This window comes from Homo sapiens, chromosome 15 (genome assembly GCF_000001405.40).
Source record: "Homo sapiens chromosome 15, GRCh38.p14 Primary Assembly".
Classification (NCBI taxonomy): domain Eukaryota; kingdom Metazoa; phylum Chordata; class Mammalia; order Primates; family Hominidae; genus Homo; species Homo sapiens.
Window position 1 is genome coordinate 48177822 of NC_000015.10, and position 26045 is coordinate 48203866.

Consider the following 26045-nt stretch of genomic DNA (forward strand, 5'->3'; position numbering starts at 1 on the left):
GCTAGAAATCAGGGAAGAGCGCTGGTCCCCGGGCCCCCAGCCCCGGCTCCCAGACCACAGGCGGCCAGGCCTGGGGCGGGCGGGGAAGGGCCTGGGAGCGGCCCAGCTGCACCTGCTCCTCAGGAAGCCGATGGCCCGGGGGCGGGCCGGGGTCTGGGGGTGGTTGTCCCCCATCGGGGCACAGCCCGGCCTCTAGCCGCCCGGTAGACTCCCCGCCCCCCACCTCGCCCCGGTTCCCGGAGGAAAAGACAATACATTTTAACGCCATTGGAGCTGCTGCTGTGCTGCGGCTGCTGCTTCTCCGCCTCCGCGGGGTGCGGCTCTCGCCGCGGCTCGCCCGGCGGCTCTGCGGGCTGCAGGTGCGGGCTGTCGCCACCAGTGGCCCCGGGCACCTCGGCCTTGTTGGCGTCCGCCATCCCGCCGCCGCTGCCTCCGCCTCGGCCGCCTGAGCTGAGGGGCTCCGAGCGCGACAATGGCGGCTGCCGGGGAAGCGGTAACGGATCCCGATTTGAAAAGGCCCCGAGCGCTCAGTAACCCGGATCTCGCGAGAACCGGTCGAGACTGGGTGACTGGGAGATGGTGTGTGCCGGGTGCGGGGGGTGGGAGTGCGGGGGGAGGGGAGCCATGGGAGCTGGGGTCAGGGCCGCTGTTGCTGCAGTCGGCCCTACACCTGCCTGGGAGGGCTGGACCAGTCCTGAAAGCCCCCGGTGGTGGTGCCATGTCTGCCCACCAGCCCGCCTGTCGCTTGGCACCAGTGGAGTCTTCGCTTGCAAAGCGGGATTAGACATCAAAGCCCTAACACCCAGACTGTTCAATTCATTCCAGGTAGGGGCAGTTAAAGAACACACCACTTTGCATCTTTAAAGACTTCTTGCAAGTCCTCAGACTGCCTTTAGAAATCCTTTGAATTAAGCAAATATAAGTCTCTTGCCATTTCAATGCCTAGGCACCCTTCGGACATTCCATAAATAGTTATTGATGACTGATTGCAATTCACCAAAAGGAATGACTTTGAATTTCTTTGAGAATTATTTGTTCTTAGGGGGTGAGGATTTCCCAGGAACTCAACTATCAGCTTAGTAAGAGAAGACTGCAGTTTTTCTCTGGACATCAATCAATATGGGGAATCCATAATTATAAAATATCGTCTACTAGATGGGCTAATAATGGACATTTGAGGTTTTGACTGTGTGTTTATTGTATACTGATGGAAATTCTAGTGAAGTAGTTAGTTATACGCTCTCAAATTTAATTGCCATATGGAGTTTTAAAATACAGTCGTAGATTTTTCCCCCTAAGTATGAAAAGGAAACCGTTAAATTTAATCAACTCCTAATTCTCGAGTACTATAATCTTTCACATTGACATAACCTTTTTCAGCTGAAAAGTTTAAATGCCTTCCCAAATTTTTTTTCCATGAAGAAGCAAACACGTACAGTTTAGTCACTTTGCAGAATATCATACACACATCAGTGGTAAAGTTATAGTTAGAAAGTAATACTCAAATAACATAATTTCATCTTCGGCTTTTCAATGTGTAGTTTCCTACCCTCTACCGAAAAATACCAAGTTCAGCTACTTCATCACACACACACATACACACACACACATACACAAACACACACACACATAATCAGAACATTTTAATGATAAGAATGCTATTGTAGTTGCTGTATAAATTGTTTCTCATTCAACTCTGAGACATAAGATTTATAATCGCAGAAAGGGCATTCAATTGTGACAGACAAAATCTGGGTTAGAACCCCAGCTCTGCCTCTTTTTGCCCATAACTCCCTGGGCAAGTCACCTCATTTCTCAATCTCTCTACAATAAATAGGGATAGCAATACCGACCTTACAGGATTGAGGTGAGGATTAAAAGAAAGCACTTTATGTAGGAAAAAGTGCTATATGAACATAATGTAATATTACAATTCTCTATCTCCCTAAGCTCAGCAGGGTTTTAGTCAAAGACAAGCCAAGTGATTTTTCCCACAGCACTAAATTATAAGTACTTTCAAAATAGTCATCATTCTGTTATTCTTTTGCTATTGTTGAATTCAGTATGAAAATTGAACCCCACCATCACCAGTACAATATATTCTTGCAAAAATCCTTTAATCAACTCAATGCAAGATTTTTTTAAGAGGCCTTTATGCTTCAAACAGAGTAGTAGGTACATGAGGAATACAAAAATGAGTACAGCCCTGTTGGGAGAGGGCTAATGTAAAAAGTACTATTTAAGTGCTATAATACAAATAAAAGCAAAGTATAATTAAAAAATTATTTACAAAAACAGGAGACTGGCCCACATGCCTTAGTTTGCCAATTAAAATATTCCATTAAAATATTTATCTTGATTACTGAGTTTTAACTTTTGTACCCAAGACAAATGCCTCACCCGCTGTAGCTTGGTTCTAGTCCTGATAAAGAGCAGAGGTTAATTCCTACTGAGAGATTGGTGAGGGCCTTATAAAAGAGCTGGATCTTAAAAGACAAAGAATTAAGGCAACTTCTGAAGGGAAGAGAATGATTAATCTTTACCATTCCATCTGACTGCTCAATAGATTGATCTTTCCTTCCTTTCTTGCTATTAATTGCAAAAGATAAAGAAAAAACTATTAATATTCTGTTGCTGAATTCCATTTCTGTATTTGCTTGTCTTCCTCTCTACTGTTTTGGTTTGTTTTGTTTTGTTTTGTCTTTTTTGAGATGGAGTCTCGCTCTGTCACCCAGGCTGGAGTGCAGTGGCGCCATCTCTGCTCACTGCAAGCTCCACCTCCCGCGTTCATACCGTTCTCCTGCCTCAGCCTCCTGAGTAGCTGGGACTACAGGCGCCCGCCAGCAGGCCCGGCTAATTTTTTGTATTTTTAGTAGAAACAGGTTTCACCGTGTTAGCCAGGATGGTCTCCATCTCCTGACCCTGTGATCTGCCTGCCTTGGCCTCCCAAATTGCTGGGATTACAGGCGTGAGCCAGAGCGCCCGGCCTTGGTTTTTTGTTTTTTGTTTGTTTGTTTTTTAGTGCATGTAGGTACATTGAAAAATTCTTAAGTGATGCTCAAATTCTTATTTTCCCATGATTCACATTGCAAAAGCATTATCCTTTGCAATTGCACAAAATATATTACTGGTACAACTTCACATAATCACTTAGTTTTCTTTCTTACAAATTAGAATGCATGTTTATGTGTGTGTACCTGGCGGGATAGGGGAAAAGCTATTACACGTATCTAGAAATCTAATCCTAGAAATCACAAAATATTTTCAATTAATACCTTAATATATGTATCACTTAGGAATTGTGTTCATCTGCTAATAACAATAACTAGAAATAATAGTGTCTTAAGCAAGATATACATTTTTACTCTCTTAAGTAAAATAAATGCAGAAGGAGCATCCCAGAGGATATATAGTAGCTTCACAGTCATCGTGAAGTCAGGTTCCTGCTACCTTAATCTTTCGCCATCCTAGTGTGAGGCTTCCATTCTTAAGGTTGCCCTATGACCCAAGATGGCTGCTGGAGATCGAGGCACCTTGTCGGCATTGTAGGTCAGAAGGAGTCCAGAAAAAAAGGGACCTATCCAGAAGTCTCACACAACACTTCCGCTTATGGGCAAGAACTTAGTCACATGACACACTCATCTGTGGGGGAGGTTGGCAAATAATTTGGGGGCTGGGCTTACTGCCCAGGGTTCTGTTACCAATGAAGAAGAGAATGGATGTCATCATTCTTCTTTTTTTTAATTTATTTTGTCTTTAAGAATTAAGTTTTAGGGATAATAATAAAATTTAAAAGAAAAAGAAACTAGACAAAAATGGTGGCTAACATTTCTATGGTGACAATAGCTTCTAAAAATACTTCCATATTTGTGCTGATATTCTAGCCCTAGAATTCATAATAAATAGATTACCTTCTCTGGGGTATTCAGAAACTCAAAAAAGAAAAAAGAATTAAACGGCAAAGACCAACAATATGAAGTAAAACAAAAAGTATGGTATAATTTTTAAGTCAATTTGCTTCACTATATAAATTGCTGGATTTGAAGGCATGAAGTTTCTAAACCTTACAAAGTAAAAATTTACCTCTTTAAAGCTTAAAAAGGAATTCGTAACTTTTTAAAATACTATGGTTTATATTTGAAATCTACATATGTATTTCCCTTTTTATAGAAAGTTCATTCTGTGATGAAAATGTGGACATTGGTTACTATCAAGTAGAAAGTAAAGTTTAATCTTATTCTGACGATTAGCTATTTACCATTCTCTCTCTTCTTCTCTTTTCCTCCTTTCTCTCTCTCTCTCCCTCCGTATCTCTGTATCACCCCCAATACACCCTCATTACACCACAGCTCTGCTTACTTTAGGAGTTCTTTTTTTTTAGCATTTAGCATTCCAAAAATACATCCTATACAAAGGTCTCTACCAGCTAGCTAAGTGAAGTTTAGAATTAAGACAATTATCTGAATAATCCAGGCAGAAACTCCACTTTTACCTCAATTATTCAAATAATTCAGAAAATAACCTCCATTGCCTTCAGGCATTGCCATTGGATTTCTGTCTGTGATCCTCCATTTCATGAAACTAAACAGAATCCAAAAATTGTACCGTATTACAGCCCTTTTCCTCAAGGGTCACACCATTCCTGATGGCTGCTTATGAGCCTAGTTTGGTGAAAGCTATGATTTTTCAGTAGTATACTGATGTGATATTTTTTCATGGTGTATTGCAAAATGGTAGATTGAAGTGATTTCATGTTACTATGTTTCAATTCACAAAGTGTTTAAACATGCAGAATATATATATGTGTGTATATGCAATATGCAGTATGTATATAAACAAAATATATTTCCATGATTTTCATTTCTAGCTATTTTTATCAGTCAGGAAAAGAAAGCTTTTGACTCAGTCAAACACTATAGATGTTTCCTCTAGGAAAGGATTTAATGCATAAAGTCTTAGAGGCTTATACAACAATTAGTAAGGCTGAGAGGGCAAAGGTCCAGGAGCTATTGCTAGAGTTTGAAATATTAGGAAGAGCAGGAGTCACAAGGAACCATGGCCAAGGATCCCTCTGACCTGTAACAACAAGATAAGTCTCAAGACTTCCTTGTGCCCAGAATCTGCTGACTTAACATTCCATCTGCCGTTTGCTGATACCCACAAAGTTACCTGCAGCCACTACTGAAATTGATGGCTTCTCTTTCCCTTCCTCCTTGCAAATTTTGTAACAGTGCCTCTCCTTGGTAGAATTTAGATTGAAATACTATTAGCAACAGAGTTTGATAAATGTCTCATAGGAGACAGAACTTAGAAGGGCAAAAACGATGCTAAGTGTCAATAGGTAATATTTTGCACAGTTTCTAAACCATTTGGCATGCTTTCTGAGGTACCCACATATGAAGGAGACAGTTACCCTATGTGTGCAATCGTGCTTTGAAAAATAAAATCAGGCCAAATGTTTTAAAATGTGTAAATTATAGATAGAAAACAACAACTTACAAACTGAGAGATCTCAAACCGAAAATGCTAAGTGGAAGCTCAGAGGCATGGCATTATAGGCTGGCTTATAAAGCAAAAATGAAACTTTAACTTTTACGATGATTTGTTATTACCATGGAGGTTTTCAGACAACAGATTGGTTTAAAATTCATCATCTTATACCATTTTTGGAAGACAACTTAAGTTTTACTTACAATTGTCAGAGGTATTTACAAGAAATAACCTAAGTTACTCTTACATGGCCTAACTGGTTTTGTCTGCTCCGAGGGTTCTCAAGCCTGGTCTCCATTTTATTTTGTTTTAACAATCCATTCATTCATTGTGTGTGTTAGATTTAAAAATGCCTGAACTTCTAAATAAGATAAAGTATGTAAAAATACTTGTGACTTATCTTATTCTCTTGACTCCATTAACAAATCTCAATTGTGAGTTCCTTGCAATATCGTTCAGGCTACTAAAGAGACTGCATGGTAGTACGGTCAGTCTAGATGTTCTGACAGTCCCAACGTTACAGAGCAAATGTAGGCTTGCATAAGTGTCCATGTACTTCAAACCAGATTTCTGCATCAGCACTCTGAATATTTCTGGAAACTAGTATCAACAACATTTCTGAAAAATCAAACCTTATTCTTCCCAAGTGCCTTTGCTTTGAGCACTATCTAAAGTCCTCGGGACAGTTACATAGGAACTACTGTAGAACTACTGTAGACTAAAAAATTATTACAATTAATCAGTCCTCAAAACATTAGGCTTACATTTTCTCCTCAAAAATCTTCATATTTTTAAGTACTGTTTTAGATCATAGTCACTAACTTCAATTTATTTTATACTGACTTTTAGGTAGTGTAGAAAAAGAAGGCCCCTCCTTAGTTCTTTCTGATTATCTCCTATAGTTGCCTAAAGTGTCTTCGCATCTCACCAGATAAACGTTCATTCAGTTTAGCTTTGCTTAATATATGAGAGGTGTGGCTTTTATTTGGCTAGCCTAGCTTTAGAACTCTGATACCAAATATACAACTGTTCATTCTTTAACAATGCACAGAACCCTGAAAAAGAAAAAGAACTCACATTCTACAAAATCATACATTAAAAATAACTGGCAACTTAAGAAAATGGAAAGATAAGCCACAGACTGGAATAAAATCTTTTCAAAACGCATATCTAATAAAGAACTTATATCCAAAAACAAAGAAGATATGCAAATGAAAAATAAGCAAATGAAATTATCATTAACATCAGATGTACTGGGGGTTGAAAATTGGAACAATAATGAGAAACCACTATATATTATTGGAATGGCTAAAATCCAAAACACTGACAACACTAAATGTTGAAGATGATGTGGAGCAACAGGAACTCTCATTAATTACTGGTAGAAATACAAAATGATGCAGCCACTTTGGAAGACAGTATGGCAATTTCTTACACAGCTAAATATAGTCTTACCATAGAATCCAACAATCACGCTGTTAGTTATTTGCTGAAACAAATTGAAAACTTATGTCCACACAAAAGCCTGCACACAAATATTTATAGTATCTTTATTCATAATTGCCAAAAATTGGAAGTAACCGAGATATCTTTCAACAGATATATAGATAAATAAACTGTGGCATATCCATACAATGAAATATTATTGAACAATAAAAAATAAATGAGCTATCAAGCCATGAAAAGTCATGAAGGATGCTTACATGCGTGTTGTTAAATGAAAGAAGCCAGTTTGAAAGGGCAACAGAGTCTGTATGACTCTATACATACATTCTGGAAAAGAGAAAACTGCAAGACAGTTTCAGATCAATGGATTCCAGGGGTTTGTGAGGGGAAGAGGAAGGGATAAATAGGGGATATTCAGAAATGTGAAACTATTCTGCATGACAATATAATGGTGAATATATGACATTATACACTATTCAAAACTCATAGAACTGACCAACAAAAAGAATAAACTCTAGTGTAAACTGTGTACTTAATAATAATGTAACAAAATTGTTTTATCAATTGTTAACAAATGTACCACACTAATGTAAGATGTTAATAACAAGTGAAACTGTGAGAAAAGGGATGGGAGATATATGGGAACTTTCTGTACTCTCTGACTTTTCTGTAATCCTGAAACTGCTCTAAGAAAATTAAGTCTATTCAATAACAAAAATAACTGGCAATATTTCGGGAAAAAATTATGTTGGAGAAAAAAGTGTAAAACTTACATAACATCACAACCATAGCACTGCAAAAAACATTTACAAAGCTAAGAAAATGCTAGCACAATTAAAAATAAAAGTTACGACATATATTTCAATACATTTAGAACTTCACAAATTTGTTTGAGTTAGGAAAGAATGATGGAATAAATAAACCAAAGGTTGAGTTACAAAAACAAGGACAAATGCACAAAGATCAGGAAGAATTGTGCAATAAGCATTTTCAAGACAGATCGTATGGTGAAATTAAGCCAAGAGGAAAAAGGAGGAGTGAATGGGTGTTATATATAGGACTACTTTCCTCCACAGCTTACTACCTTCAGCTGTGTTAGTGGACTTAGAGTGCAACTGCTTTTACTTGGTAGTCAAAACATTAACGTATTGGGGAAAATCATGTATAAAACAATTGATTTCCACATTTCATTGACATTCCTATTTGCCAATTATTTTTTAACTGAGTCCTATTACAGAAGCATACATTATGTTAGAAAACTGCTCTTGTTTCTCTATCTTTAGCAGAGCAAAATAACTTAAGCTAATCTCTATATACTATACTGTAGTTATGGCTCATACATTCGTGGAGATTGTGCCCAAGGTACCCTCTCATACTCATTAGATTCAACAGTGAATATAGTGGAGGGCTTAAAGTACACTTTAAATGAAACAACTGAAGGCTTATGGGCAGTAAAACTAAAAGCAATTAAATGAAATTTCATTTAAATAGAACACTCTGAACTGAAACATTTAGTACATTTTTCTTTGCAGAAAAGTTTACCAGAAAACAGAGCATCTCATTTTCAATGGGACTCATCAACCAGACCAGCATTAGATCATTAACTACACTAAAGTGTCATCATGCTCAATTCACTTAGGAGTCCACATACTTAGATCATTTCTTCACTGTTGACAAAATCCCACACAGTCATTTTCTAATCAAATCTAATTATCCTATTACTGTACTCTCTAATCCTATTTCAGCACATTCAGCCTTGGCTTAGTTTTGAGATATCAGATGGTAAAAATGACCTAAAGGAAGATCTCCAAGGGGAAAAAAATAGAAAACTAATGGGGTGGCTTTAAAATATGTAGGAGTTGGCCAGGCGCGTTGGCTCACGCCTGTAATCCCAGCATTTTGGGAAGCCAAGGCAGGCGGATCATGAGGTCAGGAGTTCGAGACCAGCCTGACCAACATGCTGAAACCCTGATTGTACTAAAAATACAAAAAAAAAATAAAAATTAGCCAGGCCTGATGGCATGTGCTTGTAATCCCAGTTACTCAGAAGGCTGAGGCAGGAGAATCGCTTGAACCCAGGAGGCAGAGGTTGCAGTGAGCAGAGATCGAGCCACTGCACTCCAGCCTGGGTAACAGAGGGAGACTCCATCTCAAAAAAAAAAAAAAAAAAAAAAGTAGGAGTTTAAGCCATTCAATACTTCGTTGTAAAACAGGGAATGAGATCATGTACCATGCATTTACAGCAGAATTTTTTAGCAGGCTCTTTGGATTACCTTGGGATTATAAAAATGAACTTCCAGAGATCCATGAATACCTGAGCTGTGAGCAAAACATCTGTATATATGTATTTTTAGGAAGAGGGCATATCTTTCTTAGTGAAATTTCAAAATCATTCTTATTCCTCCCCCCGAAACAATGATTAAAACTGTATATGTAGACAAAAAAGACATGGGTAGATAAAAATAACACTCATATACATAGGAGTTCATTTTTTGAAAAAAAAAAAAGGTTGACTTTTGAATATAGCTAATTACCAAACATCATCTAAAGCCAAAAAAGCATTGGATTAATCTTAAAAAATAGTTATACCAAAACTAATTTATGTTTGTCTTTAATACATGTTTTAAAATTTCACATTTGAAAGATATGCTACCCAATGTTTGAATCAATAGCAATATTCAAATTAAAAAGCACAGCTACATTAAAATATTTTAGTTAAGGAATAATAATCAAACCTCAGCCAAACAAGACGTAGATTTTCCTGAAAAATTGAAAGTAACATGTTGGCCTCATAGGTTGAAGAGGTAAAGGTGATCTCACTTTGCAAAAGTTGAGAGCAAGAAGTCAACTAGAGCCAAGATGGCAAGAATTTATGCAAGCTAAATTTTCCTCTGAAAAGAATCCTGAGCTCAGTTGTTAGAGGAAATTCTTGTTTTCAGTTTCTTTGTGACAACCTCATTCTAGAATATATTCATTACAGTTGGGCTATCATGCTTTCTAAATTCCTATAGTTACCATGTCTTCTAACAAGGTGGACAATTAACACTTCCAATCTCTGAGATAACAAAAAGTCTTAGTCATATAAGGGACACTATTTAGAGTATAAAAATAGCAATAGGGTAACAAAGTGGTTTGAAATTAAGCTGATCTATAATTATATAAACTGAAAAATTTCTTCGTCATCTTGACATTTTAATATTTCCTCATTATAGTTTAGATTTTTATCTTCATAGCTAATTAGATGATACATTTTCTGTATTTTAGTATCCTATTTAGAATAAATTTATAAAACAACCATATACACTCACCCAATAATCAAAAAGTAGAGAAATTTACTTTATTTATTTATTTACTCCACTTCTGATTTTATGAGGACATTTACATGAGGTCACACATTAAAACAAATAATTAAAAGAAAATAATATTATCATTACCTAAGAAACCAAAATTGCAGTAGTTAAGGTGATTAAAAAAAAAGAAAAGATATAAAAGGCTTAAGGTCTTATGTAGTTATTCATTTTCAGCTGTTAATTTGACTCTGGCATCCCTAGTAGCTAAAATAAATGCTAACTTTAATTAGTTACATGATTTTCATTGTGTGTAAGAACAGAACATACCACTTTACCCTGGGTTGATTTAAGTGAGGTATGAAAGTTCAATTCATTAAACTGGTATTGAAAGAAATGCTTTTGGGGATATATCTATGAAATCTAAATTTCTTGGGCATCTTTATATAAGAAATAGTAAGTTATATGTTGACCAACACTTTAGTAACAGCTCTGTAGTAGATATAGAGCAGGTTGTGTAAGCTGGCTACTGTTTCACATAGAATTACTGTATATAAGCTGAGAGCATAATGTCAAAGCATAGTAAAGGCAATTCTGCTTGAGGAACTTCTAAACAATGTCACCAACATATTTACCTTTCTAATAACTTGGATTGTTCTGAAAATAAATCATAGATGCTCCAGAAGTATAGATTATCCACATGTGCTTTAGAAAGGCATTCATATATTTCATGCCTTTCAGCAATTTTTTTTGTAAAAGTTGGGCAGTAGATATTGGCAAGGACCTGAAGTACAAGTATTCTGTGTTTTATCTTTTTGCAGTTCTTCATCCCTTCTTTGGCAATGGCTAATAAAACATGAATAGCATATTAATCTGTGTTTGTATAGAACTTTGTAGAACTTACCATATTATTTTGCCACGTATCTCCTCGAGGGCAGAGACCAAATCTCATTTATCTTTGTATCTCAGCATCTAGCAAAGAAAGTGGAACCTAATGGATTTTTAATCCATTATGCTTTCCTGAATAAGCCATTTTGCAGGCTTTTGAGAGCATCATTACCTTTCATATAGCTTGAAAAGGGTCAGGGTCATGCACCAACTAATACCAAGGAACCTAATTTATAATCAATGCTTTCCTTTGGCATCAATTCAGAAGCATTAATGGGAAACGCTAGCAACCTTCAAAATGTAAGCATGTGTGTATGATGTCAATGACATAACAAATCAACATTCACACAAATGATCTATGAAACAAGAAGCCTATTCTACCTTTTAAACTAAGTGAGAATTAGAACTGTAATATCCAGATTTTAAAAATCAGCTTTATGGGCATTTACCATGGAGCCATATTTCAAGTCATAAAGTGACAAGTCAAAGTCTCCAACCGTGATAATAAATTATTGGAGTGGTGCTTATACATCCGCAGCAGAATCATGTAACTTAGTTCTGCTCCCTTGAGCTCGGCCTGCAAAGAGAATGAATGGTTATAGATCATAGTATGGAAATACAGACTCAACTATACCACTGGTCCAGACAATGTCAAAATCAAAATCAAAGGAATCAAATTCATAAAAAATTGTTCATACTGTACAGACAAAATGTTTACATGATTAGTCTCTGAACTAATTTTGAATAAATTATTTTTGTAACAGTTTGGAAACATACATAGAATAATAGATGGAATAAAATGATCTCCTTTCCCACAATCTATGACTGACTGCATTGCCAGAATTCAATATCTCTAGCATCTTGCTACTTTATTTTTATTTATTTATTTATTTTGAGACAATGTCTCGCTCTGTCACCCAGGCTGGAGTGCAGTGGCACAATCTCAGCTCACTGCAATGTCCGCCTCCTGAGTTCAAGTGATTCTCCTGCCTCAGTCTCCTGAGTAGCTGGGATTACAGGCACCCACCACCACACCCAGCTAATTTTTGTATTTTTAGTAGAGACAGGGTTTCGCCATGTTGGTCAGGCTGGTCTCAAACTCCTCACCTCAGGTGATCCTCCTACCTCGGCCTCCCAAAGTGCTGGGATTACAGGCATAAGCCACCACTCCTGGCTGCATCTTGCTACTTTAATTGGTCCCAAAACTAGTAATCTCTGGCATCACCTAGGAAATTGTCAGAAAAGCACAATCTGAGACCCAACCCCACACCTACTGAATCAGAGTCTGCATTTTAGCAAGATCGTTGAAGATTCATATGCATGTTATACTTCAAGAAGCACTGTTCCAGCCCAGAGTGCTAATAAAGAATGTGGCCCTTGGCAAGTTTAAAAAGGGTCAATAAAACCATGGCCATGGAAATGTCCCTAGAATAAGATATGTCTTTCAGTCTTTCATAGAGGGCAGTTAGTTCACCTACATTTTAGGACATCTTAATAGTTTAAAATCAAAAAACAACTTTTAAAAAATGTGGTCTTATATGAACTCTCAGTTATACATTGCCCATTTTTTTGTAAGACCATTACATTTCCTAAATCAGTAAATACTCTAAATAATCATGAAGTTTGTCTTCACTTTGTTATTGAATCTAGTTGCAGTTACATTACGTTTTCAAAGTATTTTCTTTAGATGAGTGTCCCAATTCTGTATCTACATTTCCCCCAACGACTCACAGTCCAGTAGTTATAAGGTGAATAATTAAGATTGTAGGGAATCTAAAAGTGCTTGCAACTTGTAGGTTCTGGATAGAGTCGCAAAACATAAATAGAATTGGGAACCCTGTAACTGAGTTTGTTGAAACGGCCAGACCCCTAAAATAAGGATAAAGAGCAAGGTTTCTGTTGTTGTTTTTTTGTTTTCCTTTGCTTTGCTTTGCTTTACCTTGCTTTCAACGTCGGTTAGGTTTAGAATCTACATATTCAACACTGTTTAGAAAACGTACCTGGCAGCTATCTAGAGCTTTATCAGAGCGTTTCCTGGCTGCTATTTTGTTGTCTTCTAGCTTGTGTTGGGGAGACAGGTCTCACCACGCACCATTTCAGCACTACGGACAGCGCCTAGGCGCCTTCTCCTAGAAACGGAAGGGGATTCAGTTGTGTTTGTGTGGAAGAGAGAAGGGAAAGAGTAGAGGAAAAGAACTCCAAACGACACATTCAGTCTCCAGTTAAATCAATACACCTTTCACTCCTGAATTTTCCTTACCGGATAAGAAGAAACGTGTAAGAATTTAGTGCCTACTGTTCTACTGAAAACGGCTGTCACCAAAGCACAGCAAAATGCCCGCAGCACAGCCAGGAATGCAGCAAAGAGAGCAAAACAAGGATTTCAGCAGTAAATCAATTAAACCCTCACTGCCTTAGTAAACAAAGATAATGATGAAATCTAATTGCTAACCTTCAGGGTGTGTCGTGAGAAAAAAAAGGAGTGTCTATTTTTTTCTTCCTCTCTTCCTCTTTCTTTTAGCAGAACTGAAGAATAGAGCCTGTTGCTGCTGGAGCTGATTCCCTTCCCCTCCTCATCTCCCACCTCCTTTCAGTCTCACATACACACACAGATGCTGCCACAGACACACGCGAGCGCAAATATTTACACACTGCCACACCGAAGAAATCCATGCACGTTTTCCTGCAAACGCGCGCGCGCACACGTACTTCGGCGGGCGCCCACGTCCTCTGTCTCACCAACAGACACAGACATTTACACTTCTAGGCCAGGAAAGCGCTAACCAGGGCCCTGTGACTCTACGCAGGTTCCAGAACACGCCTTCTACATTTGTTACTGAACCGATCAGCGAACACAGACAAACGTGCCAACACTTAAGTCTACTGGCTGGACTTCATCTCCATGGCAACAAGCATGGAAGGTGAGACATCGCTGTCTGCGAAGTAACTTTCTCCCCCTTCCCTCCGCATTAACTGACAGCGTTCCAAATGCAGGTCCAGATGAGAAGCATGTCCTCATTCTCTTGTATTTCTGAAGCAAAAGAGCGGGGGGTGGGGCGGTGGGTGGAGGAGCCAGTAGGTCTGATAAGTTCAAATTCTAAAGGAGAAACAGCACCCCTAATGCTAGCGCCACTGCTGATGCGGCTGCCAGGCGGGGGAAAAGTGTTGTGTACGTGCAGATTGCTGATGCTTCTCCCATAATGTTTTGTAGGAAGTTTCCATGCTTCTTCGGTTTAGTGCGTAGAAAGAGACCTGGAAACAAACAACGCAGAATGATGATGATGGTCTAGGTTTCTTTAATGAGATATCTGGAGAATTTTCAGACCAGGTTTCCCAGTGCGTTGGAAGGATTGAGTGTCAGAGTCCTTGAGCCATCCAAAGATTCTCTTAAGAGAGAAATTCTCTTAAGGTTGAAATCTGAGGGTTTAGGGGTGGATTCTGGCAGATCCTAAGGTCTGGGATCTCTGGAAAGCCCTGAAATTTATGCATTTCACCATGATGAAGACATCTAGGTTTGTAATTTAAGGTTTTCCTTTTATTCCAACACATTCGATTCTTAATGATTAACTACCTCTGTGCAGATGTGGTTTCAATAATGCTTCTTTTCTCTCTTTTACTGGGATATAATCTTTATATTTTGTGTGGAGTGTGTATATGTATGGAATGGTTCATTATTTTTTAAGCTTGGGTTTTCTTATATGTCTTATTTCATGAAATTATGAATGTCATCATTAGCAGTAGAGATTATTATATCTAATGACCAGTGCTAAAATACTTTCTACCTAGAACATCATATTCCACTCTAATAGTTATTATTTCAGGTTTATTGTTTGGAATACCATTACTAGAGAAATAAACAAGAGGAAAAACCTGTTGATTAAAATAAAACACAGGAGGTTCTTTCTTTAATGGGTACACACTTTTTAACATTAGTTTCTGTAATTGTGCATTGTTGCATGATTAAATGATTTTATCTGAAAGGTATATTTTTATATCTCTAGTAAGGTTATTTCACAGAAGACATAAACATCACTAACAATATTCATGAATATGAAAGGCTGCATATCAGGTATAAAAATACTATCATCTTTGCTTAACTGCTTACGGAGATATGATTTGTAAGTACTGATCATAGGAAGACTTTGTTTTTTACTTACTAGTTGCCAATTACAAAGCAACTTCATGAGATTTGGGCTATTTGATATCTACAGGAACACCCCTGGCCCAATCTTATGACTCATCAGTACTTAGAAATCTTGGTGCCTGACAATTGCCATGAAGGAAATGTACTTTCAACCAAGTTACTCATTGCCAAAGTACCTAACCATTTATTCCAGTGAATATGGCTCAAGACAATATTTTATCATTTGCATCAGTAGTATTAAAAGACACTTAAATATTTTAATCATTATATATATTGATCCTGATATTTAAACTGTGCATTGTTTATTTTACCCAATTTTGTGGTATAATATATTTCAAATAACTTTTACCACTACCCAATTTTACATTCTACTTATTTTTGAAAGTTCATTTTTTCTTAACTATTTTTATATGGATTTTTTAATATATGGTTTTGTAACTTAATCTAAATTTTCTCAGATTTCTTTTTTTTTCTATTTCCCAATAAACAGGATATTAAAATGATGCTTCTCTGGAGCTAGGCATTACAGTGTCTGTTGTGAATAGCTCTTCCAGCTTTTAGAGAAAGTGAAAATGCATATTTTATCTATAACTGTTGAGTATTTTGAACACCTTAGTAATTGTGAATGAATCAGTTTTATAACTGGGGACTTTTGTTTTTAATAATATTTTGTTATTAACAATATTTTCATATCATATTATGCTCTATATCAGTAGAAAAGCAGGACTTGGCACACTTAACAGTATATCCTCAAAAACTTTGGATTTGTTGTTGAAATGAGACAAGTTCTTCATTTCACAGAGCAAGTAAAATGGAAAGTTTGGCCAATTGTTTGAAAAATTTAGGCCTGAAATACTGATATTTCAACTGCTATATATATGGTTTAAATTACTAAAACCATCTATTTGCTGAACACATTGTTAGGCAATTGCTTAACTTTTTACTTCTATTTGCTTGTGTAGGCACAGCCTGCAGCAATGGACAAATTTTTAATCAGCCTTTGAATATTACTTTTTCAGTTGCTCTCCTTGACCTGTATTTTGTTTTCATCTTTAGTATAAAGTATATTTTATGATAAATATAAAAGCCTGTTTTCTCTTTTAAGATATTAATAAAACATTTGTTCTTTCTCAACCCATTTTTTTTTTGTTAAAAATGGAAATTTTACAGTTCTTTGAATCCAGGTAAATTTATGGAGCTCTTCCTTTAAAAACTGAATATGCAGTCATGTCTTCATTATTGAAAGTGATTCATCATATGATTTAACCTTCTGTACCGACTAAGTAAAACTTATTTTCTGTCAAGTTTATTTACCACCTGACTCCATTTTCTCATTACCCCTCACTCCTAAATCCAATTCAATTTAGTGTCCCTCCTAGACTCTCAACTAAATTTTTATAATGATGAAATAATTCTGAATGCCAACCATAAGACCCTGTTTTCCAGTGCTTAGTTTCCATCACCGCTGCAGAATTTGACACTGTTTGCTAATGCCTCATTCTAGAAGCCCTAGCCTCCTTTATTATAGGTGAACTTTCTGCTACAGATTTACTCATGATTCATCTTATATAACTCCACTAGGAGATCCTCCTTGTAGGAGAGGCATTCCTTGGAGTTCCTTGCTAGGCTTCTTCCATCTTTAATCTTTTCTGGTAACAGAAAATAGACTTTAATGGAATTACAGTAAAATTGCTCTCTGGATCAATCTAGAACAAGTCCATCTGGCTTCCTACAAGATAATATTTCAAATATTTGAGTCTACCTATTGTCCTTCTTGGTCTTCCCTTTCCTAGGCAAAACTCAACAATTCTTTTCTTCTCTTTAAGTTTTGATCTGCAAATATTTCTATGTACTGGGCTCTCTCCATCCTGTATAAAGTCTTCTACACAAACGTTATTTGACAACAATACCTTAAAATATTCTCCCCATCAAAAATTTTATGCTAGACAAAATGATCTGGATAAATTTATTGAAAGCTGACAATTGAGTGCCTACTAAGTGCCACACATGAGTACCACAAATTCACCAAGTCCAGAAATAAACTTGTCATTTACTTTTTAAGTCTATGCTTTGCTCTTATTTTCTTTGTTTTGATTAATAAAAACACTATATTTACACTTGTCCGAGCTTAATAGTGTAGAGTCATCTTTGATGCCTCTCTCTCCTTGGGCCCACTACTTTCCAAATCCTATCCCTCCTACTTTTCTAAATATCTTTCCAACCTCTACCCTCTTTCATACATCTACTCCCTAGTGGAGACCCTCATTGCTTCTCACCTGAACCATTTCTTTCCCGTGATGCTCTCTCCCTCAAAATTATGTCTATTTCAGTCTCATCATCAAGCCACTCAGCCTTTAAGCAAATAGATTTCAAACTCTTAGCCTGACAGTCAACATATTTCACAATTTGGCTCCAACCTACCTTTCCAACGCTTTGTTTCCCATACTCCCCCTTGCCTGTACCAAATTGCTCACTGTGCTCTGAAAAAATCCAGTATTTTTCTGCCTTCATATTTATTGTCATGCTTTTTTCTTCTTCACAGATTTGAATCATTCTGTCTCTCAAGACTCAGTTCAAATACAATCTCTTGCAAGAAAAACTTTCCTGATCCCTCAATGGGTGATATCTTGATTTCATCTAAACTTGTTTATCCTTTTTGGATCTTCTTTTTTTTCACCAAGATGTTGAAGATAGTATCAACACTATGTGGGTGTTGTGGGAATAAAATAAAATATGTAAAGCAGTATTTGATACACAGTAGATTTTAAATACAAGTTGGCTTCCTCTTCCTTTTTTATTGCTTTTGTAGAAGCCTATGTTGTTGTTTCTTTCCTTGTGTGTACATGGCTCTTCTCCCTTACTAGTTGGAATCCCTTTAAGTAGAGGAGTGCATGTCTACTAGAGCATACTAGCAACCCAATAAATATGTTTCAATGAAAGTATAGTGAATATATGCAGTGTTACTTTATATGTGGCCTGACACATTATAATAATGTTATTACTTTCTATCATTTGCACCCCTATTCAATTTAAGACATTTGCTTTTATAAGCCACCACCTCATATCTTTGGCTCAGGCTAACTTGACTAATTGCAGCTTACAGATTTATTTTACATGAATTGCCAAGTCATTATCTCCCCTGTTTGGATTTGGTGCATCTCCTTCCCTCCCACTTAAACAAAGGGCTTTAGAAGTGTTTCTATTAAATTTTATGTTCTAGCTTCAACCCAGAATTCTAGGCATCAGAATTGTCTTGAGTGTTTTTTCCATGTGCTATCATATTTCAGCCACACTTTGTCAAATTTAATAAGCTTCACTTCAATATCTTCAACTTAGTCACTGTTCAAAAACACTGAAAACATGCGTAGATTAAAGTGAAACCTTTGTAATACCACACTGGAGACCCACGTCCATGATTATAGAACCCGATATTTATTAGGGTAGTTCAGATCTATGAATCTACATAAAAACACTATTATCCAGGCATATCTCATATCTTCCCCACAAAGATATCATGGGAGACTGTTAAATGCATTGCCAAAATAACTAAACCATGTCCATGCTATTTCTCTGATTCATCATATTAGTAGCAAACTTTTGAAAAGGAAGTGAATTGGCATTACCTATTAAACTCATGTTAACTTTTAATGACTTCTTAAATATTGACAAATTACTTGTTAAATAATTAATTATGGGTTTGCAACAAAGATCAATTCCGAGTTGCCAATATATAATTTTTACAATTCCCCCTTACTCCTCTTGAAAATTGAGACATTTGTCCATGTCCTTACCTCTGGCAGCTTTTTCATGGTCTGTAATTTCTCAAAAGTCTTGAAAGTATATCTCCAAGTTATAAATTGTCTGAAAATGAGATTTTTAACTCATTTAATGTAGCTAAACATTATTCTACTGAAGTATTATCCGCTTACATTGTTTGATTTTTTTTTTTTTTCATTTCTAAAGCCCATTCTATATTGGTTAAAAAGACAGAAGTAGATTAAGTAGTTCTGCCTTTTTTTGTTGTTTGATAGCATTAAACCATCTTGTACAAATAAAGGGCTTAATCTTATATTGGTCTATCTCTTGATCTGAACATATGGTATGTGAAACCCTTCCACCTCAAAGCCTTTGTAAAGGCTGTTTCCACAAATTTCAAATCTATTCTTCCAAATATTTTCATGGTTCCCTTCTAGACATCATTCAGGGCAAATATTGTCTCCTTAGGGAAGCCTTTGCTGACCTCTTTAACTAAAGGAGTGCTGCTTATCCACCATCATTCTCTTTCTACTTAACGTGCTTTGCTTTCTTTCATAGCCTTTATGACTATGAGTACCTGGTATAATATATAGATATGGATATATAGAGATAGATATTTTTAAATAATTGTGTCTGTCTTCACCACTGGATGTAACCCTCAGTTTGGCAGGTGCACATTGTTATCTAGTTCACCACTGTACTCTAGTACCAAGAAAAGTACTGACATCTAACAGATACTCAATATACATTTGGTTAATGAATAAATTAAAATATTATTATATGTTACCTTAAGTTCATTTAGCTCTTTAGATTTCTTAACAGCATTCTGACAGTTTTTGGTCACTTCTCAGCATTTTCCCTAGTTATACTGCATTGCTGCTATATTTGTACCAATAATAGAGACACAGAGTGCTTATAAATTATGTTTAAAGCCATGAAATAGCCATTCATCTATTCCTCCAAGGTAGTATAAAAATGGTGACTTTGTTTATTCAGTAACAGTGACTCTGCATATCTACTCATTCTTTATGCCCTTACCTGATTCCAAAAGCCTTTGAAGTATCTTACAATACCTTCTTAGTTAAGGGTAACAGTCAAGTAATGTAGAGGGCAGGCACAGAGGAAGAAGGAGTAATTATACCAGAAATCTTAAGCTAACCAATGTCACTACAGTTGAATACAAAATTTAACCCTGTACTTCCTGGCACAAACTAATGCCAAAATATAAGATGGCTATATACCTTTCCTTAGAAAACAAAAGGAAACTCCCAAGGTTGTTAGGAAAGATCTGTTTTCTCCACATTTGAATACTAAAAATGATGTAAGTCTGAGAATGCTAAGTAAATTTGATAGAAAAGAACAAAAACACTGAACTCTGAAAGAGCTACTGAGTTTTTATACTTATTTTCAAATCCAATTTTTGAAATCAAATAAAAATTTTCTTTTTCATTTTAACTAAATGTATTTGCATGCTTTTTGGATATCTAAAAACTAGAGTTTTGTACAAAACTTTATTTGAAGGACTTTATTCCTCAAAAAATATATTCTTCAAAATATTTAGTTTAATTCAATTAAAATATGTATTGAATACCTACAGTGTGCTGGGAACTGTGATCACTATGTGAGAAGTAATTATTTTCCATTTAAAAATGATAAATAACTCATTAATTTACATATCATCTAAGGCTCTAGGAACAAAGTATTATTCGCTGTATGATGGACATATTATATTCTAAAGTATAAAAGGATTTTGTTTGTCTAACTAGGAAGATGCCTTGTTTTAAACTAATAGTAACAAATGACAAGAATGTTTTATTGCTGCCTCTAAAAAATGCCTCTTTTTGCTGGTTTGTTTTGTTGGTTAGTAGGTTTTAAGAAAAATAAGAGCGTAGTGGATTAATCACTGGTTAAGAGCCAACAGACTTCACTCTTCCAACAATCAGCTATGATACTGTGTCTGTGTCTACATTATGCATTTTCAAAACACCTAAATAAATTTAGCTAACATCATAACTATAATCAGTTTAGGCTACTGCTAGATGATAACAAAAAGAACTAGTTGAAAAATGAACAGATCATTAAAACTGCCCAGGTGCTTTAACTTTTGTGATGTCAATTGTTAAAGGTTGGGTCCTCCAGAAGCCAGTCTCTGAGACAGAAGTTAGTTTGCTGAATTTTTATTGAGGACTGTCCTTGGGCTCAGCACCCATGGAAGAGTGGGGAATTAAACAGGAGTGGCCAGAAATTGAACTGTGCTATAGACCCAATGACAGTCTCTGCTGACCCCATCTAGAACTCTGAAGCTAAAATAGATTTTAGAGTTGACCCCCTTTGATACAAGATGGCCACACCTTTATACTATTATATAATCAATGATTGAGTATGGTCTTCCCTGGGAAGGGCCACGACTTTGGGTGAAGCAGCTCTCTGCAATCGAGGCAATCAGTGAAAGGGGCTGACAGCTGAAGACTGTTTGCTGCCAACATTCTTTGTTGCTGGGCAATAAGTCCTTCACTGAAGGAAATCTATTGGGAAACCACAGCGTCCATCCATAAACCATGTTTATTGCCTCCTCTTACCCACATATCCCCTGAAATATCCACATGTTGTAGCCCAGCAAGTTTATGCTCTAGTAAAAAACTAAATGAACAAGTTAGTTGGCTGAATCATCTCCTTGGTCCAACATCTCTATAGAGAAACATCCTGCTATTCAGTTTCTCCTTCCATTAAATAAATGATCCAGTGAGTATATGGATCTTAACAAATGATTTTTAATTGACAAAAGCAAGAAAATTAGACATTTAGTCAGCAAAAGAAGTTCCAGTTAAGTCTCAGAGTCATTGGAGATTCAATCCAGTCCTCTGTGCCTTTTACAGGATAAATACTACAACAAGAACTCAATCTTCAGGAAGATCATTCTCAGCCAATAAGTGTCCCTATGTTTAAAAAACTAAAGTCTTCTCACTATACTATATTGATTAGGACAAAAAATGACTTAGTGGAAAGAAACTCAACAGGGGTTTGAACAATATTTTTTCCCTTTACTAAACAAAAAAATCAAACAATGAACATAAGCCATAATTATTGAATATTTCTACCACTTAAGGTTTGAGGATAGAGCTTTTTTGTAATCTAAATCATTATAAAACAAAATATTGATTGATATTAGTTGGTGTATTATTTGCAGAATAACTTTGAAAGCTACAAGTCCTGCTTTTCTTACTCTCTTTCTTCATTCCTTACCTCCCATCCTTTATTCTGTCTCAGTTGTTTCCTGAAAATTAGGTCCAAACAAATCTCAAGGGTCAGTAATTTTAATACATATAAGTCTTAAAAATTATCAGAAAAAGCAACAATAAAAAAGAAAATACCAACAGTCTATTATTCGCAGTTATTGGATGAAAAGCTATTTGGTGACAGTCCTCTTAAAAAAGGTGGCTGTACATTAGTAATTATTTGATTAATTAAATTTATCTTTATTTGTAATTAATTCATTTAACTAACTTAAGACATCAAATGGGAAAAAAACCTATTTTGTTTCAGTTGAACATATACTTTCTGAATGCTTTAGTGGTAGTTTTAGAATCTCAGCACAATAGGGACTTAGGAGTGGAAATCTTGTTGGGAGGGAGACTGGGGAGCTTGTCTTGAAGTTGAATTTGCAGAGAAAGCATGCTGTTTAACTTGGATTTTATGTTTACTTAGAGTGTTCTGAAGGCTAATGGAGATGGTGGGGAGGTGGCTAATGGCCATAGCCACTGCTGCTTATTACTTGCAAGCTGCTCTGTTGGGCACTGCCTGCATTAATGTAATTTTAAAAACATAATTCCTCTCTTTAAGAAATTGACACAGTGTATCCAGTGGTAGTGAAGAAAAAAAATGTAAATACATACATATAAAACCTAAGGGGATGAAAAGAAAGAAGTCATTATATCTGTTTAAAAGGATCAGAATCTATATCAGTCAAAATGGCACTGGAAATAGACCTTGAAGTATGGACTTTAAACAGCTTGAGCAGCTTACATGCTATGATTGTTTATATTATCTACCTACACGTGCAAATATGAGGTGAAAATTAGATGACAATTCAGATCAAAGAAGCAGCTATCTAACTGTCTAGCAATGAATCAAAAGATTTTAGGGCTGATAATTTGAATATTCACCTTCATACTTGATTTATTTAGAGTATGTGGGCACAGTCTTATGTGTCCGCAAAGGAAATTCTTTAATTACAACATTTAGAAGTAGCATCTCCAATGCTAATTTGATTCCAATCTGTATCTGATGATGCTTTCAAACATCTTTTGTGAGTTAAGTCAAGAAGGTTTGAAAAACGTCAGATTTTATTAAGCAACAACCTACCCAATACCATACAAGGGTAAAACTAAACTGAGTCCAATTTTGTACCTAGGCAAAGAGTTGATTCCAGAAGGAACTGTGAAGAGCCACAACAATGTGCCAGTGAATAATGAGTAGTACCTACTGTGGCAACTCTTCAGCTAAGATGAGTGTCAACGAAGTATCAGCTTTCTCATTGACTCTGGAGCAAAAAACTGGCTTTGCTTTTGTTGGGATTTTGTGTATCTTCTTGGGACTTCTTATTATCCGATGCTTCAAAATCCTGCTAGACCCATATAGTAGCATGCCTTCCTCTACATGGGAAGATGAAGTTGAAGAGTTTGATAAAGGGACATTTGAATATGCACTCGCGTGAGAGTTCCAGCTATATGGTTTTTATGGTTGTGCCATCGGGACACATTCTGGATACAATTGTAACTACCTTGAGGGTGTGGGAGAGAGGCTCATTTTGTTCAGTGAATTCAATAAACATCTGTGACTAATTTCTTCACCATGCTGTGTAAATGATAAACTATTGTTGGGATTCCTCACTTTCCTCTGTTCCCACTTAGAGGTTTCCAATGAATAGAGCATAAGGATGGCTGCCGCCATGTTTACCATCTTTATTCTTATCTTGAACAACTGCCTTGAATTTCTGCTTCCTTTCTTGTGCTAATAAACTGTGCCAAAGGCATCTTGCTCTCTCCCCTCTGAAAAGCCCAGGCATCCCCTCCACATTCCTGACTCAGACCCCTTTAGCTTTAGTGAGTCAGGTCTTAAACAGAGAATTTAGTCCAAAGAATAATCAAAATATTATTTGTCTAATAATAACCATAGGCCCAAAAGGTTCACAGGTGAAAAAATATCTCAAAAATCTAACACCCAAAGCCTACAAGTAGTCACAGGCCCTAAAGCTCCCCAAATTTCACAGAGCCCTGACCCTCCTATCTCTTCTGTTTGTCGAATCTCTTGCAGTAAAATCCCATAGCTTGGAATCCAAACCAGATCTGCCTCATACTGATGCTCCCTCCCCTACCCCTTGCATAAATAGAATTTAAAAGGGAGTTTCCAGCATGACCTAGTGGAAAGAGTACTCTAAGCAGAAACAAAGACAGTCTCAGCTGTGCCACCAGTAGAGCTATGCTCTAATGGGTAAGTCATCTAATCTCTGTGAGCTTCAGTGAAGAGTAGTGTTAACATCCTTTTCAATTCTAGTGCCCTATGAATGCTACAAATGTATCTGAAAACCCAGAGATCTGAAATGAATGAGGATTTAAGATATCATGAAAAGTTTTTCAGATTAGGAGCCTAAACTCAGAGATTTGAATTCTAATGTTAGCTTAGCCAAGAACTAGCTTTATGACCTAGAAAGTTACCTAAAGGGAACCTATATTGCACAACAAGAATTAAGAAACCCATCCTGCATGTCTTCAGCAATATTGAGAGGGCCAATTAGATATAATGAATGTGAAAGCATTTTGTAAACCATAAAACAGTATCTAAACATACCTTGCTATCAATATTTATTGTCCTCATCAGTAGCAGTAATAGAGATTCTCAAACCCTAAGAAGCAATGGCTTAGTGTAAATTATTCAATCTCTCTAGTATTTCATTCTCTTCAATTGAGAAATAAAAAGATAAAATTATATAGTTCTAAATTCTTTCCAACTACAAACTTCTGACTCTCTATGAGTCAGAATGGAGGAACATAGCAGGAGATAAATACAAAAATATTTATGTCCTTTGAAAACACAGAACTGCAAAACATACCATGAAGGAACAAGACTAATATTACCAAGAGGTAGCACTAAGTTAGTTACTTTCAATTTATTTGATACTCTTATAAATTCTTTGAGTTGGAGACTACTATTTCCATTTTATTTTTAATCTTAATTTTGCAGAAGAGAAACTGAAGCTAAGAGAAATTAACTAGCTTCCCAAGGTCACCATAGCTAGGGAATGGTTATGTTAGGGATTGAACTTGGGCAGTTTGATTTCTGCTGTATCCCTAGACACTGTCCTCAACACTTCTACATAGCTTATAGGCATGGTTACTGCTCAGGTCTATGGAATTCCAAAACCAGCTGTCTCTGTGAGATTCCTTGATGCTTTCCATCTCATAATAGATTTAGAACATATCTGTTATTAGCTATGGATCTTCTGGACCAAATCCTCACCTCAAGGAGGCTCTCTGTACCCCAGTTGGTTCAAGAGTGTAGGCCTGGTACACCTCATAGCCAGTTAGTAACTTGGCCCAAGAACAGGCCACTGGGCCAAGTTCAACTGAACATACTGAAAATTGTGTGTGCCAGGAAACTAGGTCTCTTTGTTGACCAAGGCTTTTAAAGTACCAGATGTTTCATTTGTCTCCCAGAGAAGACACCCACCAAGACCCTCCATTTTGATGACTAGAACAAACCAAGGCCAGATCTTTATTTCAAAGGAAGAAAGACCTCTACAACCAAGAAAACTTTATGAAATATGAGCATTGTTTCTGGAAGTTCAACTCCCATAAGCTTTTCAAGTATATTAACTCTACCATAATATTATTTCCAAATCCACTAAAGAAAAATTCTATTAACCAAAAGTGTCTTCATCTGTGGTTTTTATTTGTGGTCTATTGGGTGCCTTAGTTTTTTTGGGGGGTGGGGTGGTTTGGGGGATAGAAAAGTCAGTATCTGTATTTTCAGAAACA

General features: G+C 36.5%; 2 protein-coding genes and 1 long non-coding RNA gene across 20 annotated transcripts in view, besides 4 other annotated features; 1 reads left to right on the forward strand and 2 right to left on the reverse strand.

Annotated features, from left to right (window-relative positions):
* The window catches only part of MYEF2 (myelin expression factor 2), a 43664-nt gene extending 43190 nt beyond the window's left edge, over positions 1 to 474 (reverse strand). For all 10 annotated transcript variants that reach the window (NR_125408.2, XM_017022287.2, XM_005254424.5 and 7 more), the window contains exon 1: positions 256 to 474. Coding sequence is in view for 9 of the 10 variants with exons in the window: in XM_017022287.2 (XP_016877776.1) it covers positions 256 to 416 (161 nt within the window). In the remaining variant the exon portion in view is untranslated. The remainder of the gene's footprint in view (positions 1 to 255) is intronic.
* Positions 16 to 445: a silencer, noted in NCBI's record as "silent region_6413". NCBI's record gives its function as "represses an Ori minimal core promoter by ATAC-STARR-seq in GM12878 lymphoblastoid cells {active_cell/tissue: GM12878}" and the evidence as "EXISTENCE:reporter gene assay evidence [ECO:0000049][PMID:35858748]".
* Positions 418 to 1069: an enhancer, noted in NCBI's record as "NANOG-H3K27ac hESC enhancer chr15:48470436-48471087 (GRCh37/hg19 assembly coordinates)". NCBI's record gives its function as "activates a minimal SCP1, AML or CMV promoter by ChIP-STARR-seq in primed H9 embryonic stem cells {active_cell/tissue: H9 hESC(primed)}" and the evidence as "EXISTENCE:reporter gene assay evidence [ECO:0000049][PMID:30033119]".
* Positions 616 to 715: a silencer, noted in NCBI's record as "silent region_6414". NCBI's record gives its function as "represses an Ori minimal core promoter by ATAC-STARR-seq in GM12878 lymphoblastoid cells {active_cell/tissue: GM12878}" and the evidence as "EXISTENCE:reporter gene assay evidence [ECO:0000049][PMID:35858748]".
* Positions 617 to 25937, forward strand: CTXN2 (cortexin 2). 6 transcript variants are annotated; one of them, XM_047432494.1, is made up of 3 exons: positions 617 to 825; positions 13636 to 14032; positions 23423 to 25937. In XM_047432494.1, exon 3 carries the CDS (start codon positions 23480 to 23482, stop codon positions 23723 to 23725), a length of 246 nt encoding a protein of 81 aa, XP_047288450.1. In that variant the 5' UTR covers positions 617 to 825; positions 13636 to 14032; positions 23423 to 23479; the 3' UTR covers positions 23726 to 25937. The 6 variants fall into 6 exon arrangements, with proteins under 6 accessions (XP_047288450.1, XP_016877667.1, NP_001357344.1 ...); XM_017022178.2 differs by having other exon boundaries at positions 13919 to 14032; NM_001370415.1 differs by lacking the exon at positions 13636 to 14032.
* CTXN2-AS1 (CTXN2 antisense RNA 1) lies at positions 10259 to 13888 on the reverse strand. 4 transcript variants are annotated; one of them, NR_184076.1, is made up of 4 exons: positions 13821 to 13888; positions 13112 to 13240; positions 12219 to 12336; positions 10259 to 11688 (listed from the first exon to the last, which is right to left on the reverse strand). It is a non-coding gene; the product is annotated as a CTXN2 antisense RNA 1 (long non-coding RNA). The 4 variants fall into 4 exon arrangements; NR_184081.1 differs by lacking the exon at positions 12219 to 12336; NR_184082.1 differs by lacking the exon at positions 12219 to 12336 and having other exon boundaries at positions 13764 to 13888.
* Positions 13848 to 14351: an enhancer, noted in NCBI's record as "H3K4me1 hESC enhancer chr15:48483866-48484369 (GRCh37/hg19 assembly coordinates)". NCBI's record gives its function as "activates a minimal SCP1, AML or CMV promoter by ChIP-STARR-seq in primed H9 embryonic stem cells {active_cell/tissue: H9 hESC(primed)}" and the evidence as "EXISTENCE:reporter gene assay evidence [ECO:0000049][PMID:30033119]".